A 16,658-nucleotide genomic window follows, 5' to 3' on the forward strand; every position below is an offset into this window, starting at 1 on the left:
ATCCTACATGGCTAGGGAATATTGCTAGATTCTATTTGCTAACATTTTCAAAAAAATTTTTGCATCAGTGCTTAAGTGTATTGTTCTGAAGCTTTATTTTCTTCTAACATTGTTATTTGGTTTGGTTCTCAAGAAATTGTTAGGTTTTTTTTCCTCAAGAAATAAAGCGAAAAAGCCTTTTTTTCTCAAGACATGGAGCTGAAAGCCATTTTTCTCTCAAGAAATTGAGCTAAAATTTCTTGAGAAAATGGAGCTAAAATGTTAACTCCATTTCCCATTTTCGTGGTTGAAAATGAATGGCTATTATTAAAAAGTCTAAAAAAATAGATGCTGGGAAGGTTGCAGGGAAAAGGGAACACTTACACACTGTTGATGGGAGTGTAAATTAGTTTAACCATTGTGGAAAACAGTGTGGCAATACTTCAAAGAGCTAAAAAAAGAACTACCATTTGACCCCGCAGTCTCATTAATGGGTGTATATCCAAAGGAATAGAAATTATTCTATTATAAAGGCACATGCACATGTATGTTCTTTGCAACACTATTCACAATAGCAAAGACATGGAATCAACCCAAATGCCCATCAATGATAGACTGGATAAAGAAAATGTAGTATAATATATATACACCATGGAATACTAAGCAGCTGTAAAAAAAAAAAAAGAATGAGATCATGTCCTTGGCAGGGACTTAGATGGAACTGGAGGCCATTACACTCATCTCCTTCCTAAATTATTTTTGTCCTCTACTTACTATAGTTTTAATCTGTTCTTATTCTATCTTTTCAAGGTGGACACTTACTTGATCTCAGAAATTTCCTATTTTCTAGTATAAGCATTTAAAACCACCCATTTATCTCTAAACACTGAGCTAACTTATCCTAGAAATTATGATGTATTATATTTTTCTTTTGTTTGGTTGGAAATATAGGCTCAAATTATCATTGTAATGCCTTCTTAACTCTGTTTTTACTTAGAATAGTATTCTCTGTTTACAGATTTTCATGATTTTCCAAATAATTTCTCGATTTATTTAAATTCATTGTGATTACAAAACAAACTTATTCTGTATAAATTCAATAGTTGAAATCTAATACTTCTTTTGTGCCCAGCATGTAATGTATTTTGGTGACTATTTCATATCTACTTAGAAAACATGAGTATCCTGAAATTGTTTAGTCTAATGTTCAAAACTGTTGATAGATTGTTCAAGTATGTTTTATTCTAAAGTATTTCAGACTAGTTTACTAGATAAAATTACTGACAGATGAATGTTGAAGTCTTTATCTGAAACTGTGGATATGTCTATACCTTTTTAAAAATAATTTTTCTTCATATATTGATCTATAATTAGGCATGTTATACTTCCATTATTATAAATGCTTTTCTTTGTCCTTGATATTATACTTTGACCTAGAGTTCACTTTGGCTTATATAAACACAATTGTTGTAGTTTTCTGAATTTTAGTAGGTTTGTAAAGTATACTCATATTTTACTTTAAACTTACCGCAATTAATTCTCACAGCTTTTATTTTTGTAAATGCTTTTATTTAATGTTTATTTTAAATGATATTTATACTAAATAATTCTACTTTGATGTATTTTAGTTTTGTCCTATAGCACTTTAAGGATGCTCTTCTGCTATTATTGGGCTACATTGTTTTGATGAGAAATCTGAAGATACCCTGAACTTTGTTTCCTTGTTTGTATTGTTTCTTTTCTCTCTGGCTTCTTTTAAATTTAACTTTATATTTCATTATTCCTGCATTTCAGAAAATGTATTAAAATGTGCCTTGCTATAGTCATATCTGTGATTATTTGTAGATTATTGGTGTCTATCAAAATTATGTCTTCAAATTGTTTTCTGCACTGACTGACTCACTCCTCTCCTTCTAGAACTGCAATTGCACGTATGCCGGACTGCATAATATTGTTCCATAAGTAACTAAGACTGTTCATTTTCTTCATCTTTTTTTAAATCTCTGTACATTGCCCTGAATGATGTCTGGTCCTATGACTTTAAGTTCAGTGGTATCTTTTTTTTGTTTGTTTGTTTTTTCTTCAGTGTCACATTATCTCATGCTCACTGATTGAAATTTTCATTTCAGATATTACATTTTTCATGTGGAAAAGTTATCTTTTTTCATTTCTACATATTCCATGTCTCTTCTAATTATGTTTTTCCCTCTGTATTCTTGAGCATATTTATTATATTTATAATAGCTAAATTCTTGTCAGTAAATCTATCATCTCTGTTGTTCTGTTGTTTATAGGTCTTTTCCTATTAATGGATTTTCTTCCTTCCTGGGTTATGGATCACATTTGATAATTTCCATAGTAATTTTGTATCAGATGCTTGATATTGCATATATAATGTCTAGTATTTAAGGCAGTCACCTACTTAGCTGAAGAGAATGCACATAATTCCCAACCCTGTGTGAGCACTGGGAATTCTTCAATTTACAACTCTCCAAGAGTTGTTCTTGTTTAGATCCCTGGAGTTCTGCAGGTATAGATCAATAAATAGTAAAAGACTGAACTGGATTCCTATCCTGATTTCTCGAGCTCTTTTTTCTTCATAGTTATCTCCACTATGATATTCTTCCCTGCAAATTTTAGCTGCCTCAGCTTTCCACAGCTCCATTCTTTGTCTCACCATGAGAGATTGCCTTGCTCTGCTTCTGTTCTCCCTTCTACTGTGGCCTGGAAAGTATGAGTTAAGAAGTCCAGGGCCACCAGGCGCAGTGGCTCACACCTATAATCCCAGCACTTTGGGAGGCCAAGGCAGGTGGATCACCTGAGGTCAGTAGTTTGAGACCAGCCTGGCCAACATGGTGAAACCCCGTCTCTATTAAAGTACAAAAAATTAGCCGAGTGTGATGGTGGGCGCCTGTAATCCCAGCTACCCAGGAGGCTGAGGCAGGAGAATTGCTTGAGCCCAGGAGGTGGAGGTTGCAGTGAGCCGAGATCATGCCACTGCACTCCAGCCTGGGTGACAGAGCAATACTTCATCTATAAAAATAAAATAAAATAAAATAAGCCCCTGGCAATTTTAAGGCTCCACTCATTTATGTCCTTTTTCTCAAGATTTTCAATCCTGTGTTGGCTTTTGTGCCAATGCATGAAACCAGATGTTTCATTTATTTTATCCAATGTTTTTTAGCACAGAATAATTTCTGCATGAGGAATATTCATGGACAGAAACATGAGTTTAAGCATGACATTTCAATTACAAATTTTACCTGGCCAACACTTATCTCATCATCAAAATATAAATGTTTATTTACATTTAATGGCTCTCCTTTTTCATACCATGAGGCAACAATCTGACACAAATGGATACCCGAGTCTGCAGGAACAGAAAGACCTGTATAATCTCTCTAGTTTCCAAGCTTCTAAATTGTGTTATATAAGCATCCAGCAAATTAATCTCATTACTTCAATCATGTCCTTCCTGAATCAAACTTGACTGACAGTTAAAGTTCGTTAATGGGTCCACGAATCACAAAAACTTTGTTCCTAAGGTTTTTCAACCTAGCATAATACCCCTGATCTCATAGAATTATGAGAAAGCCCTAAAATATATCACATGTAAACATTCTTACTGGTGTAATATAAGGAGTCATTAGGAACAATATTAACAGTGAGAAGGACAATGGTATGGGATCCTTAAAATTAGGTGAATTTCTCTAGGAAATGTATAAGTCATCAGAAATAAAAAATTTCTCATAATACAATAAAATAAATTATTCAGGTTCTAGCTATTGCTACAAAACATTTAATAACACATTATGTACCACAGAGATATGAAAATGCATTTTAAAACATTTCAATGATTAGTTTCGTATTAATTTATGAGAGCAATGAAAAAATAAAATGTTCTTTATTTTAAAAATAATGGTAAGGGCCAGGCGCGGTGGCTCACGCCTGTAATCCCAGCACTTTGGGAGGCCAAGGCAGGCAGATCACGAGGTCAGGAGATCGAGACCATCCTCGCTAACACGGTGAAACCTCGGCTCTACTAAAAATACAAAAAATTATCCAGGCGTGGTGGCGGGCGCCTGTAGTCCCAGCTACTCGGGAGGCTGAGGCAGGAGAATGGCGTGAACCCAGGAGGTGGAGCTTGCAGTGAGCCGAGATCTCGCCACTGCACTCCAGCCTGGGCAACAGAGCGAGACTCTGTCTCAAAAATAAATAAATAAATAAATAAATAAATAAATAAATAAATAAATAAATAAACAAATAAGAATGGTAAGTATTACATGGTATTTTCAGAAGAAAAAATCTTCATATTGTACACTATAATAACAACATATCATTCATGACAATTCTAATTCTGCTACTAACAGATTTTCTCTGCTTTGAGAAAAATCTTGAGTATGAAATTTTGAATGTGTTTAAGCAAGTTCGTGGTAAACAGAAGGCTTGCAGAGCACCTCGGAAGGAACATTTTCCCAATGTTGGCAACACAGGACTCTGTTTTCCATGCATAGTCTGTTGGGGAAAAAAATAAAAGTTGTTGGAATGTGAACACTACTGTGTTTTTCTTCAGCTGAATATGTATTTTAAAGAATAAGAGAGAGTTGAAATGATGCAAATTTAAAAGGCTGTCTTCATTAGCAAACATCTAAGACAAATGTTGAAATGTTTTTGTCTTCACTAGCATAACTCCATAAGGATTTACAATCTGGCAATAATTTCACTAAACATTTAAGATTATTTTGTCAGTTTTGCATTAAACTCAAAGAAAAACTGAGTTTTAACAGCTAAAAGATGTGTTCAAGCACAAAATCTGTGATAATGTTAAGAAAAGAAACTCAAATATGAGTTACAGCTTTCAAAGTAGACAGAGAAAGAAAAAAGGTTAACACTGTAAAATGAAAATCTCTTGAGCACAAACATTTCTGAGTACATCTTATCATCTATTAGTAATATATTAGCACTTACAGTAGGTGAGGTTGGGCAAGTGATTAGCTTTGAGTGAAGTAAGAATCTTGAACCATAGGAATACATCTGTGATATTTTTAATAACAGGGTAAATAAACCACAAGCCACCTTAAAACCTGAAGTTAAACAAACTTTCATCAATTTAGAAACTGAAGGACCAAATCCAGTTCAAACAATTAAAGTTAGATATCATTGATATCTGTTGGTGATTTGGTTTTCAAGTAGAAAATAATAAGTGATTATGTTTCCTGCTTGTAAATGAAAAGGAATCTATAGACAGAGATGTGGACCTAAGTAAAGGCAGGCTTGTAGGGGGTAACTGATGTATAAGCCAGCCCATAAGACAACACCTGTATTTCATTGGGCAGAGTCAGCGCAGAATAATAGAGAAAATAGGCTGCTTACTAATTCCACTTTCAATGGCATTGGGAAAATAATTTTGCAAACTCAGTCAAGTTAATCAAATTTTTCTCAGTTTCAAAATAAAAAATATTGATCATCTAGGTAACTTCTAGGATTTGTTCTAACTCTAAAAATTAAATTACAGCAGCCAGGCGCGGTGGATCCCACCTGTAATCCCAGCACTTTGGGAGGTCAAGGTGGGCTGATCACAAAGTTAGGAGTTTGAGACCAGCCTGGCCAACACGGTGAAACGCTGTCTTTACTAAAAATACATAACATTAGCTGGGTGTGGTGGTGCATACCTGTAATCCCAGCTACTTGGGAGGCTGAGGCAGGAGAATTGCTTGAACCCAGGAAGCAGAGGTCGAGGCGAGCAGAGATGGAACCATTGTACTCCAGCCTGGGCGACAGAGCAAAACTCCATCTCAAATAAACAAATAAATAAATAAATAAATTACAATTATTAAATGAAGGAAAAAATGACAGAATCAACAGAAGTGCCTGTAGTTCATTCCAAACAAAAGTAAAAACTGTTTTGAATTTTTTTATTTTAGTAGAAATCTAAAGTTTTGTGCAGTTATATTAAATATTATTTATACCTGTGCAAAATGCTGAATTTGGTATTGCTTTATTTCAAGAAGATGTACAAGTGATAAATCTAAAACTTATGATAGTATTTAGGACCACAAATAATTTATAACTATCACCATTCCCTTTAATCTATAGAAGCAGGTTGCAAATTTGCTTGCAGGTGAAATTATCTGTATATGTTCTATTTTTCATTAAAATAAAAAAATGCAGCAAAAGTTTATTATCCATATTGTCTTACAGGTATAAAATGTCAAAATAATAATATATAATCATAGATTCATTGCATTCAGAAACAAATATCAATATATTTAGAAGAAAATGATAAGTTCAATCATAGTTGAGGATAGTCTAAACAAAAAAGCAAGGTCAAAGATACAAACTCCAGTCTGGGCAACATGACAAAACCCAGTCTCTACAAAACACAAAAATTTATCTGGGCCTGGTGGCACACTACTGTAGTTGCAGCTGCTAGGAAGCTCAAATGGGAGAATTACCTGAGCTCGAGAGGTTGAGGCTACAGTGAGCTGAAATTGTGCCACTGTACTCCAGCCTGGGTGACACAGTGAGATCTTGTCTCAAAGAAAATGAAAAATAAGATACAAACTACTGTACCTTCAAATCTATTTGAATAGAGACTCATTACATTATATTGCTGGGGAATTTTTAGAAAAGCAATTATTTTAATTTTTTAACTTTTTCTGAGATATTTTTATCTGTTTCTTATTTAAGCACTCCAACACCAGGAAGCCTATTTCTTTATAATAAAACAATATGAGTTCAATGATTAGGAATGTATCCCTGTCTTCCTGTAACCTGTACTGTCATACCTTATGCTGGCTCACAATTCAGAACAAATCTGTTCTCTCTTTCAACCAGTCAAATATACAATATCAAATAATAGATGCCATTTTCTTCATGACACTTCTCTCAATATTGAAAGCTATCATTTCTCTTTTTGGCCTACTTCTCTCTGAACGAAGTCTCTCATTATCCTTTAGCAATTCTTGAATTCGTTTGAAGACTTCTGTACATACCATTGGTTTTCCTTTGAATGTACCTTAATCTGTTTTCTGTTAAATATTATCAAGGATTACATATACTCCATACCCACTATATTAGTCAGGGTCTTCCAGAGAAATGGAACCAATAGAAGATTATATCCCAGGAGAGCCAAAAAAAAAAAAAAAAAACTGCAGTTCCAGTCCGAATTCTGAAACCGCGTGCCTACTGGTACAACACAAAGTGAAGAAAACAGTATTCCTTTTCTGTGCTCCTCACAAAAGTGATTAACATTGGCATAATCATGACAAACCCTCAGACAAAAACATATTTAAAAAATTTATGAAATAATTGGCCTGTATCTTCAACAGGTCAAGGTCATAAAACAAAAAAAAACTCAATAAATTTTTTTTTCAGATAAAAGGAGAGTGACATTACAACTGAAATCAATGCATGATTCCTGATTAGATTTGAGAACAAAATAGCCATAAATGACACCAGTGGGATAATTGGAAAAATTTTAGTATGAAATGTAGATTATATAATGTATGACATTAAATTTCCTAATTTATATAGATGTACTGTCATTGAGAAAGAAAATTTTCTTTGTCCTTAGCTAACTAAGAATTAAATATTTAGGGATAAACCGGCATGTTTTGATGAATGCAATTTACTTTCAAATTATGTAGTCTCAAATGACACAAGTGTATGTGTACATTTATTTATGTTTGTGTGAAAAATAGAGGACAAGAGAAAGAGAACGTGAGAAACAAGAGAATCAAAGTGAGAAAAAGTGAGCAAAAGTGAAAGCAAATGGGACAAAAACTAACAAATGACACTGAGCAAAGGTTAGGTGAAAATTCTTTATATTACTCTTATAATTTTGCTAAACAATTGAAATTATATTAAAAAAAAACTGTCCCCCACCAAAAATATATATATTTGTTTCAACAAGAAATTATCAAGTCTTTTAGACCAAACACATTGCAAGCTTGAAATAATAGATTCATGTGTGTATATGTGTATTATATATATAAAATATATAATATATTACCTTAATATATAATAGGTGTGTGTATATATTACCTTAGTTATGATGAGAATAACCTTTTTCCTCACATTTAACTGTGATAATAATAAACTTACATGTTCTCAAAAATTCTGTTTTACTATGAAATCGTAATCACTTTAAAACCAAGCAATTAATTTTAAAAATAATGTGTAAAATAAAATATCTGCCTGTTTTAAAAAATATTTTACATAAATCCTTAAATTATTAAAAGAAATACCACCTCTATATTACAGATGTAAGCATGTTACCAAAATGTGATTTATACTCACTAATTTACTACAAGAGCTTAAAATTCTAATTTGCAAAGTACATGTCATTGTACAATTTTCATTTTCAAAATGTTCTTTCTTCAATAATTTATGAGCCAGCAGTGAATTTTATGCATCCAATTATCAAAATTGCTTTGAAATATAATGCTAAGCTGACAGTGAAGTGTTGAAAATTGCTAATTAGATATTGCATCATTGAGAAATAAAAGATTTTGAGAATTATAGAATATAAATGTAATGATATACATCTAAGTAAGACAACCATATTAATTGATATTATCTCATTAAAGGTGAGTATTGAGAATTTTTATAACAGATATGAAAAACATCAGCAGAAACACTAACAAAATATAATGGGAAATAAATATCATGATATAAAATGCATATTATCCACATAGCATACTCAATGCTTTATTTAAAGATGATGACTCTCATTAGAATTTAAAAATAACTATAATTATTTTATGGATATGATAAGAAATGATAACTTTCAAAACTTAAAATACTATTATTAACAACATAAATTAGTTTCTTATTTTTCTATAATAAATTAAATCTATTTATTTTAAAATTTTTCTGTGTTAATGCTCAACCTACCTCAGAGGAAGAAGCACATTAGCTAAATCTTGAAGAATGAATAGGTGCCTGCAAAGTGAAAACATTTCAAGGGTATATCCCTGAAGGACCTGGCATGTTTAGACAATGTCTTAATGCATTACAATACTTAAAAGAGGTAAAAAAGAGGTCAAACATATAAGCAAGAAAAAATAATAATTCCATCAAAAGGTGGGCAAAAACACGAATAGAAATTTCTCCAAAAATGTACAAATGGCCAACAAACATACGAAACAGTGCTCAGCATCACTAATCATTAGGAAAATACAAATTAATATGACAGTGAGATATCGCTTTGCCCCAGCCGGAATAGTCACTATTAAATAGTCAAAAAACAATAGATGTTGGCGTGGATGTGCTGAAGAAAGGAATACTTACACACTGCTGGTAGGAATGTAAATCAGTATCAGTACAGCCTCTGTGGAAAACAGTATGGAGATTTCTCAAATAACTAAAAGCAGATCTACTATTTCATCCAGCAATCCCACTACTATCTACTCAAAGGAAAAGAAGTCACTGTATGAAAAAGACACTTGCATGTGTATGTTTATTGCATCACAATTCACAATTACAAAGCTATGGAATCAACCTAAGTGCCCATCAACTGATGAGTGGATAAAGAAAATGTGGTTTTATACACACACACACACACACACACACACAAATACACCATGGAATACTGTTCAGCCATTTAAAAAAAGAATAAAATAATGTACTTTGCAGCACTTGGATGGAACTGGAGGCCATTATTCCAAGTGAAGGAATCAAAGCCAAATACTGCATGTTCTCACTTACAAGTGGAGCTAAGCTATAGGTACACAAAGGCATGTAAAACAGTATAGTAAACATTGGAAACTCAACAAAAAAAGGAAAATACCTTTAGACTTGTAAATAAACATACCAATAATTTTATATTAAATTGACAATCACTATCAGATTATTTCCAAAAATTAAAATCTACCACATCCACAAAATGCAAAACTTCCAATGTTTAATACAAATTCCCTAATGGATTGTTTCCTTTAGAAAAATCCATTCGGTTTATGTGTGTGCGTGCATGCGTGCGTGTGTGTGTAATTTAGCTTCTAAAACTTTATCATAAAATCATACATAAAATAGTAAGTAGATTTCCCTAGAAAATTTCTTTTATCATTTTATTACAGAGGTATACAGCAAGGTGCCCCAGAATCTGAGGACAAAGTTATGCTCTGAAAATATTACAAGTAAACTGCTCTTGAAAAAGCACACTTCAAATGAAATTTACACCCAGAATTCATGCATAGGAAAGTATTTTTTTACTGTTCTTAGAGACTGAAAATTTAAATTTTACAGTGTAATTTTGGAAAAACATATAAAAAGGTTTTATTTATTTAATAGAACTTGTCCCAAAAAAACCTAAATATTATATCTCAATTATTTTTAAAACATAATAAATGGCCAAAAATTCATCTCTGATCTTTTTCTTCCTTTCAACCATGTATCATACTAGAACAACCAACAAAAAGTAGCATACATTGTACCCGATAGGTAGTTTCTTTTATTCCTCACTCCCCTCACATCCTCCCCAATTGAGTCTCCAATATTTATTGATCTAAATATTATTTCAAATGTTGTTATTCTATTTATATTTTGATAATCCATAATTAACCTTAATTTCTAAGAGTAGAGCAAAGGTAAACACTGAAAAATTTTCGTGCTACAATTCAGAAGCGGGCACGCATTCTGTATATTGGTAAATAAAATACTTTTTAAAATGTTATTTTCATGATCTATTATGAAATTAATTTAGCCTAAGTCTTTTGCTATAAAAGAAGCATTTTTCTGGAGGTTATTATTATAAGGGCCCTTGTAAATCTCTGAAACAAAAATCAAAATTCTTAGTAGGCTAGTCAGTGCTCTAAAATCATAGTTATTACTCCAAAAAATTTATTTTCTTTCACAAACAATTACTGCTATGAAAAATAGTAAAAAGATAATATCCAAGTTATGCAAGATAAATAAGGTAGAGCAATCTCCTGTTCACCATCATGCCTATTGTTAGCAATATTTTATTGTGCACTTAAAATTTCTTAAAGGAGCAGATGTCATGGTAAATATTCTCACCTCAATACAATATATATTTGTACATGTATGTGTGTGTATATAAATGCACATTAAAGTAAAAATTTAGAACTTTTATATTAATTATCTAAACAACAAAATTAAGTAGAATAATTAAAAATAATATCCAAATTATAGAAATAAAAAATAAAGACATAACTATCATATGTGTATAGCAAATAGTTGGTAACATGTAGCAAATATTGGAAAGTTGAGAAGATAAAATCTCAAGGATAAAGTTAATATTTTATTATTTCAACAGAAGGCATAATATAGATGTAGTGATAGGAATTGGAAAGAAAATATTCATGGCTATAGTGTTTGATATATCATGGCTTATGTTACCTTTAATTTCACAGTTAAAAACTGGATTTAGCAATCAATCTAACATAATGATAGTTTTGGAATCTGTATCCTCTCCTCCCACTCTTTTAAAAACACCTTAATTATAAACCATATTTTCTTAATGTTATCAGTGGAAAACAGATGTTAATTAACTTCACTTTTTTAAAGAAAAAGGTAGAAACCACTACATGCAGAATTGTACCAGATCTTCACAAAAATAAAACATTCATGTGAAAAAGTATTTGTAATATTTCACTATTAGGTTCGATTTAATTAAATTGTCTGTATATGTCCAGCCTTTGCTCTTTACATGCCTAAAAATACAGTGTTACAATGTTAAGAGTCAAAAATTATTACACTATCAAGCTAAATAACCTCTTATTCAAAGTAGAAGCTAATGCCCTTTTTATAAAACTGAACAATATAGCAATAAAACCTCTAAATATTCAATTAGTTATTTGCTGATCTGGCAACTACCTACATTTTTGTTTCAACTGATGAAGAATTTCTGCAAAAAATAATAATAATAATAATTTGTTATTATTAAAATAATCATAATTTGTTAATGATCAAGGAGAAATCATAGAAGCATTTTTCAAGGTTTTTGCATAATGAGTCTGCAGGTTTTCTTAGTGGATTTTTTTTCTCTGATGAGTTCATGCTTCTCACACAAGCAATAATTGAGAAAAACAGTAAAGGAAAATGTACTCAAGAAACCACTTAAGACAAATCTCTTAGGAGGAATTATGTATTGAATTTTTTTCCTCCAATTCTGCTCTCATGCTCCCTCTCCACCCACCATCCCCTTGTGCCTCACACACACACACACACACACACACACTCACCAACTATAGTAACTAGGCTTTTCTTATCAGAGGGTTCAGATGGGAAAAAGAAAACATTTGTTCCTTTAAAACTGAGTTTTAAAGGAACTGAGTTTTAAAGTTTAAATTAGTTTAAAATTATGTTTTTTGTTCATTTATTTATGTTATTAAATGCCAGTGGCTTTCTTTAAATCTTTATTGGGGTGGGCCACTGTGTCCAATCATGATATCTAAATTCTTTGAATATATGAATTCATGTACTATGTACCCACAAATAATTAAGAGGCCCACATATACCATAAAGAGGTTTCAAGTTCAATGAATTTCTACAGCTAAATAAATTGTATGTCATTCTCATTTAGAGTTATACTGAAAATAAATATCTGATTTACATTTTAAAGACTCAGTTTATCTATATTCAGCAGGGTTTTTTTGAATTAAATATGGTATAACATAACAAATGTATTTATCAGCCAGCTTTATCCTTTTTACACTTACTATGAGGGGAAACTCCTCAAGCTATCTGCATTTATACTTTACATATATGTTGCATTTTTAATATGATTTAATGGGTTACATACACCTACAGCTGTGTTTAATGAAATGTCTTTCCCTTTATGCTTTCAAAATTACTTATACAGTAATAATGCTCACAGAATTCTGTTTTGAGAATGTTTGCCTTTGGAACACAATAAAGGAAAAGAAACATCTCTTCTTTCCCTTGATTTTTATTGTCTCTCTGGCTTTGAATTGCATTTCGGACAAAAATAATGCATACAATTGAATGCTTTTTAATAAATTAATGGAGTTATACAACCATCAACACAATCCAGTGTTTGAACATTTCTATCACTACAAAAAGCGTCCACCTGCCCCTGGGAGGTAAGTTGCTTTTCCTTTGGTGTCCTACCTAACCCTCTCTCCCTCCCTACCCCCACCTTGGACACAAAACCTAATCTTTCAGTCTCTCTATGAAGCAGGATATTTCCCTGACCCCTTCGTGGGACTTGAGTGGGGCTTGCCCTCGTTTACTCAGCCTGTGGGTCTCAAATCCTTGTGGGAGGGAGTGCGCAGGTCAACAAGGTGGGAACTGGAGTGCATGAGTGCTGGAACCAGCTGGCCATTTTGGCACTGGCAGGATCAAACCCCACTCACTCAGACCCACTACAATCCACCCCATGAGGGGGGCAGTGCATAGGTGAGGAGGTGCAGGAGCCAGAAAGAGCGCCGGCAGGAGGGAACTCCTACACACCCCATGGCAGCATCCAAATGGGGTGCCTGTGACTCCCAAAGCCCTAGAGGGTGTGTCTTTTAGCTCTGCCATTCACAGAAAGCTTCAGTGTTAACAGCTCAGTGAGCCCTCTGCCTTTTCATGTGAGGCAGCTGCCCTCCGCCAGTGAGGGCAAAGGGCCAGTGTGATAACCTTTTTTGTATCAGCACTTGTGGTTCCCGAGCTCTTGTCTGGTGTCCTGGAAAAATGAGGTTACATGAAACGATTGAAGGATGGTAAATAAGGGGATTTTATTGCTGATGAAAGTGGCTGACAGGGAGAAGGGGAGCTAAAAAGGGGACAGGGGTGTAGGCAATCTTCCCCTGAAGTCCAGCTGTCTCCAACTGGGTTATTCTCTGAAGTTACCTTGTCAAGCTATTCCTCTGAAGTCAAGCCACTTCTCTCTGACATCCAGCTGTAGTCGTTTCTCCTCTCCAACTGAGTCTGGGGTCTTTACAAGGTACAGCTTTGCAGGCAGGGTGGGTGATGGATGGTTTAGGAAAAGGCAACATTCAAGCAGGAAAACAGAGATGTAAGTTCTCACTTTGGGCTGTGGTTTCAGGCTTTTGGGATTGAGGATGGGGTTTCACCAGGGACCTGCCCTTTTCTGCCTGGAATTTCTCTGCCTCCTGTCCCTATCATCTATACATAGAATCACATTGATATGGTTTGGCTGTGCCCCCACCCAAATCTCAACTTGAATTGTATCTCCCAGAATTCCCACATGTTATGCGAGGGACCCAGGGGGAGGTAATTGAATCATGGGGGCTGGTTTTTCCTTTGCTATTCTCATGATAGTGAATAAGTCTCACGAGATCTGATGGGTTTATCAGGGGTTTCCACTTTTGCTTCTTCCTCATTTTCTCTTGCCACCACCATGTAAGAAGTGCCTTTTACCTCCCACCACGATTATGAGGCCTCCCCAGCCATGTGGAACTGTAAGTCCAATTAAACCTCTTTTATTTTCCCAGTCTTGGGTGTGTCTTTATCAGCAGAGTGAAAACAGACTAATGCAGTAAATTGGTACCAGGAGTGGGGCTTTGCTGAAAAGATACCAGAAAAAGTGGAAGTGACTTTGGAACTGGGTAACAGACAAAGATTGGAACAGTTTGAAGGGCTCAGAAGAACACAGGAAAATGTGGGAAAGTTTGGAACTTCCTACTATCTTGTTGAACGGCTTTGACCAAAATATTGATAGCGATATGGACAATAAAATCCAGGCTGAGGTGGTCTCAGATGGAGATGAGAAACTTGTTGGGAACTGGAGCAAAGGTGACTCTTGTTATGATTTTTTTTTTTTTTTTGGAGACAGAGTCTTGCTCTGTCTCCCAGGCTGGAGTGCAATGGCACGATTTCGCTCACTGCAAGCTCCACCTCCTGGGTTCACAGCATTCTCCTGCCTCAGCCTCCCCAGTAGCTGGGACTACAGGCACCCACCACCATGCCTGGCTAAATTTTGTATTTTTTTAGTAGAGACGGGGTTTCATCATGTTAGCCAGGTTGGTCTCCATCTCCTGACCTTGTGATCTGCTGGCCTCAGCCTCCCAAAGTGCTGGGATTACAGGCATGAGCCACCATGCCCGGCCTCTTGTTATGTTTTAGCAACGAGACTGGCAGCATTTTGTTCCTGCCCTAGAGATTTGCGGAACTTTGAACTTGAAAGAGATGATTTAGGGTATCTGGCAGAAGAAATTTCTAAGCAGCAAAGCATTCAAGAGGTGACTTGGGTACTGTTAAAGGAATTCAGTTTTAAAAGGGAAAAAGAGTATAAAAGTTCAGAAAATTTGCAATAGAAAAGAAAATTCCATTTTCTGGGGAGAAATTCAAGCCAGCTGCAGAAATTTGCATAAGTAGCAAGGAGCACCTAATGTTAATCCCCAAGACCATGGGGAAAATGTCTCTAGGGCATGTCAGAGACCTTCGTGACAGGCCCTCCCATCACAGGTCTGGAGACTCAAGAGGAAAAACTGGTTTTGTGGGCCGGGCCCAAGGTACCTATGATGTGTGCAGCCTAGGGACTTGATGCCCTGTGTCCCAGCTGCTCCAGCAGTGACTGAAATGGGCCAATGTACAGCTCAGGCTGTGGCTTCAGAGGGTGGAAGACCCAAGCCTTGGGAGCTTCCATGTGGTGTTGAGCCTGCAGTGCACAAATGTTAAGAATTGAGGTTTAGAAACCTCTGCTTAGATTTCAGAGAATGTATGGAAACGCCTGGATGCTCATGCAAAAGTTTGTTGCACAGTCAGGGCCCTCATTGAGAACCTCTGCTAGGGCAGTGTGGAAGGGAAATGTGGGGTCAGAGCCCTCATGCAGAGTCCCTACTGAGGCACTGCCTAGTGGAGCTGTGAGAAAAGGGCCACCGCCCTCCAGACCCCAGAATGGTAGATCCACTGACAGCTTGCACCGTGTGACTGGAAAAGCTACTGACACTCAACGCCAGCCCAGGAAAGCCGGGAGGGAGACTGTACCCTGCAAGTCATAGGGGCATAGCTGCCCAAGACCATGGGAACCCACCTCTTGCATCAGTGTGGCCTTGATGTGAGACCTGGAGTCAAAGGAGATCATTTTGGAGCTTTAAAATTTGACTACCCCACTGGATTTTAGACTTGCATGGGGCCTTTAGTCCTTTCATTTTGGCCAAATTCTCCCATTTGGGACAGCTGTATTTACCCAATACCTGTACTCCCATTGTATCTAGGAAGTAACTAGCTTGCTTTTGATTTTACAGGCTCATAGGTGGAAGGGACTTGCCTTATCTCAGATGAGACTTTGGACTGTGAACTTTTGGTTAATGCTGAAATGAGTTAAGACTTTGGGGGACTGTTTGGAAGGCATGATTAGTTTTTAAATGTGAGGACATGAGATTTGGAGGGGCCCGGGGCAGAATGATATGGTTTGGCTGTGTCCCCACCCAAATCTCAACTTTAATTGTATCTCCCAGAATTCCCACGTGTTGATGCAGGGACCCAGGGAGAGGTAACTGAATCATGGGGGCCAGTCTTTCCTGTGCTATTCTCGTGATAGTGAGTAAGTCTCATGAGAGCTGATGTGTTTATCGGAGGTTTCCGCTTTTGCTTCTTCCTTATTCTCTGTTGCTGCCACCATGTAAGAAGTATCTTTCACCTCCCGTCATGATTCTGAGGCCTCTCCTGCCACCTGTGTAACTGTAAGTCCAATTAAACCTCCTTTTCTTCCCAGTCTCGAGTATGTCTTTATCAGCAGTGAG

General features: G+C 35.3%; 1 long non-coding RNA gene across 2 annotated transcripts; it reads right to left on the reverse strand.

Moving 5' to 3' along the window:
* Positions 1-4,249: 4,249 nt before the first annotated feature.
* On the reverse strand, positions 4,250-9,308 carry LOC105377523 (uncharacterized). 2 transcript variants are annotated; one of them, XR_939422.1, is made up of 3 exons: positions 9,274-9,308; positions 5,652-5,773; positions 4,250-4,494 (listed from the first exon to the last, which is right to left on the reverse strand). It is a non-coding gene; the product is annotated as an uncharacterized LOC105377523 (long non-coding RNA). The 2 variants fall into 2 exon arrangements; XR_939423.1 differs by lacking the exon at positions 9,274-9,308 and adding an exon at positions 8,878-8,920.
* Positions 9,309-16,658: the final 7,350 nt, after the last annotated feature.

This window comes from Homo sapiens, chromosome 4 (assembly GCF_000001405.40).
Source record: "Homo sapiens chromosome 4, GRCh38.p14 Primary Assembly".
Classification (NCBI taxonomy): Eukaryota; Metazoa; Chordata; class Mammalia; order Primates; family Hominidae; genus Homo; species Homo sapiens.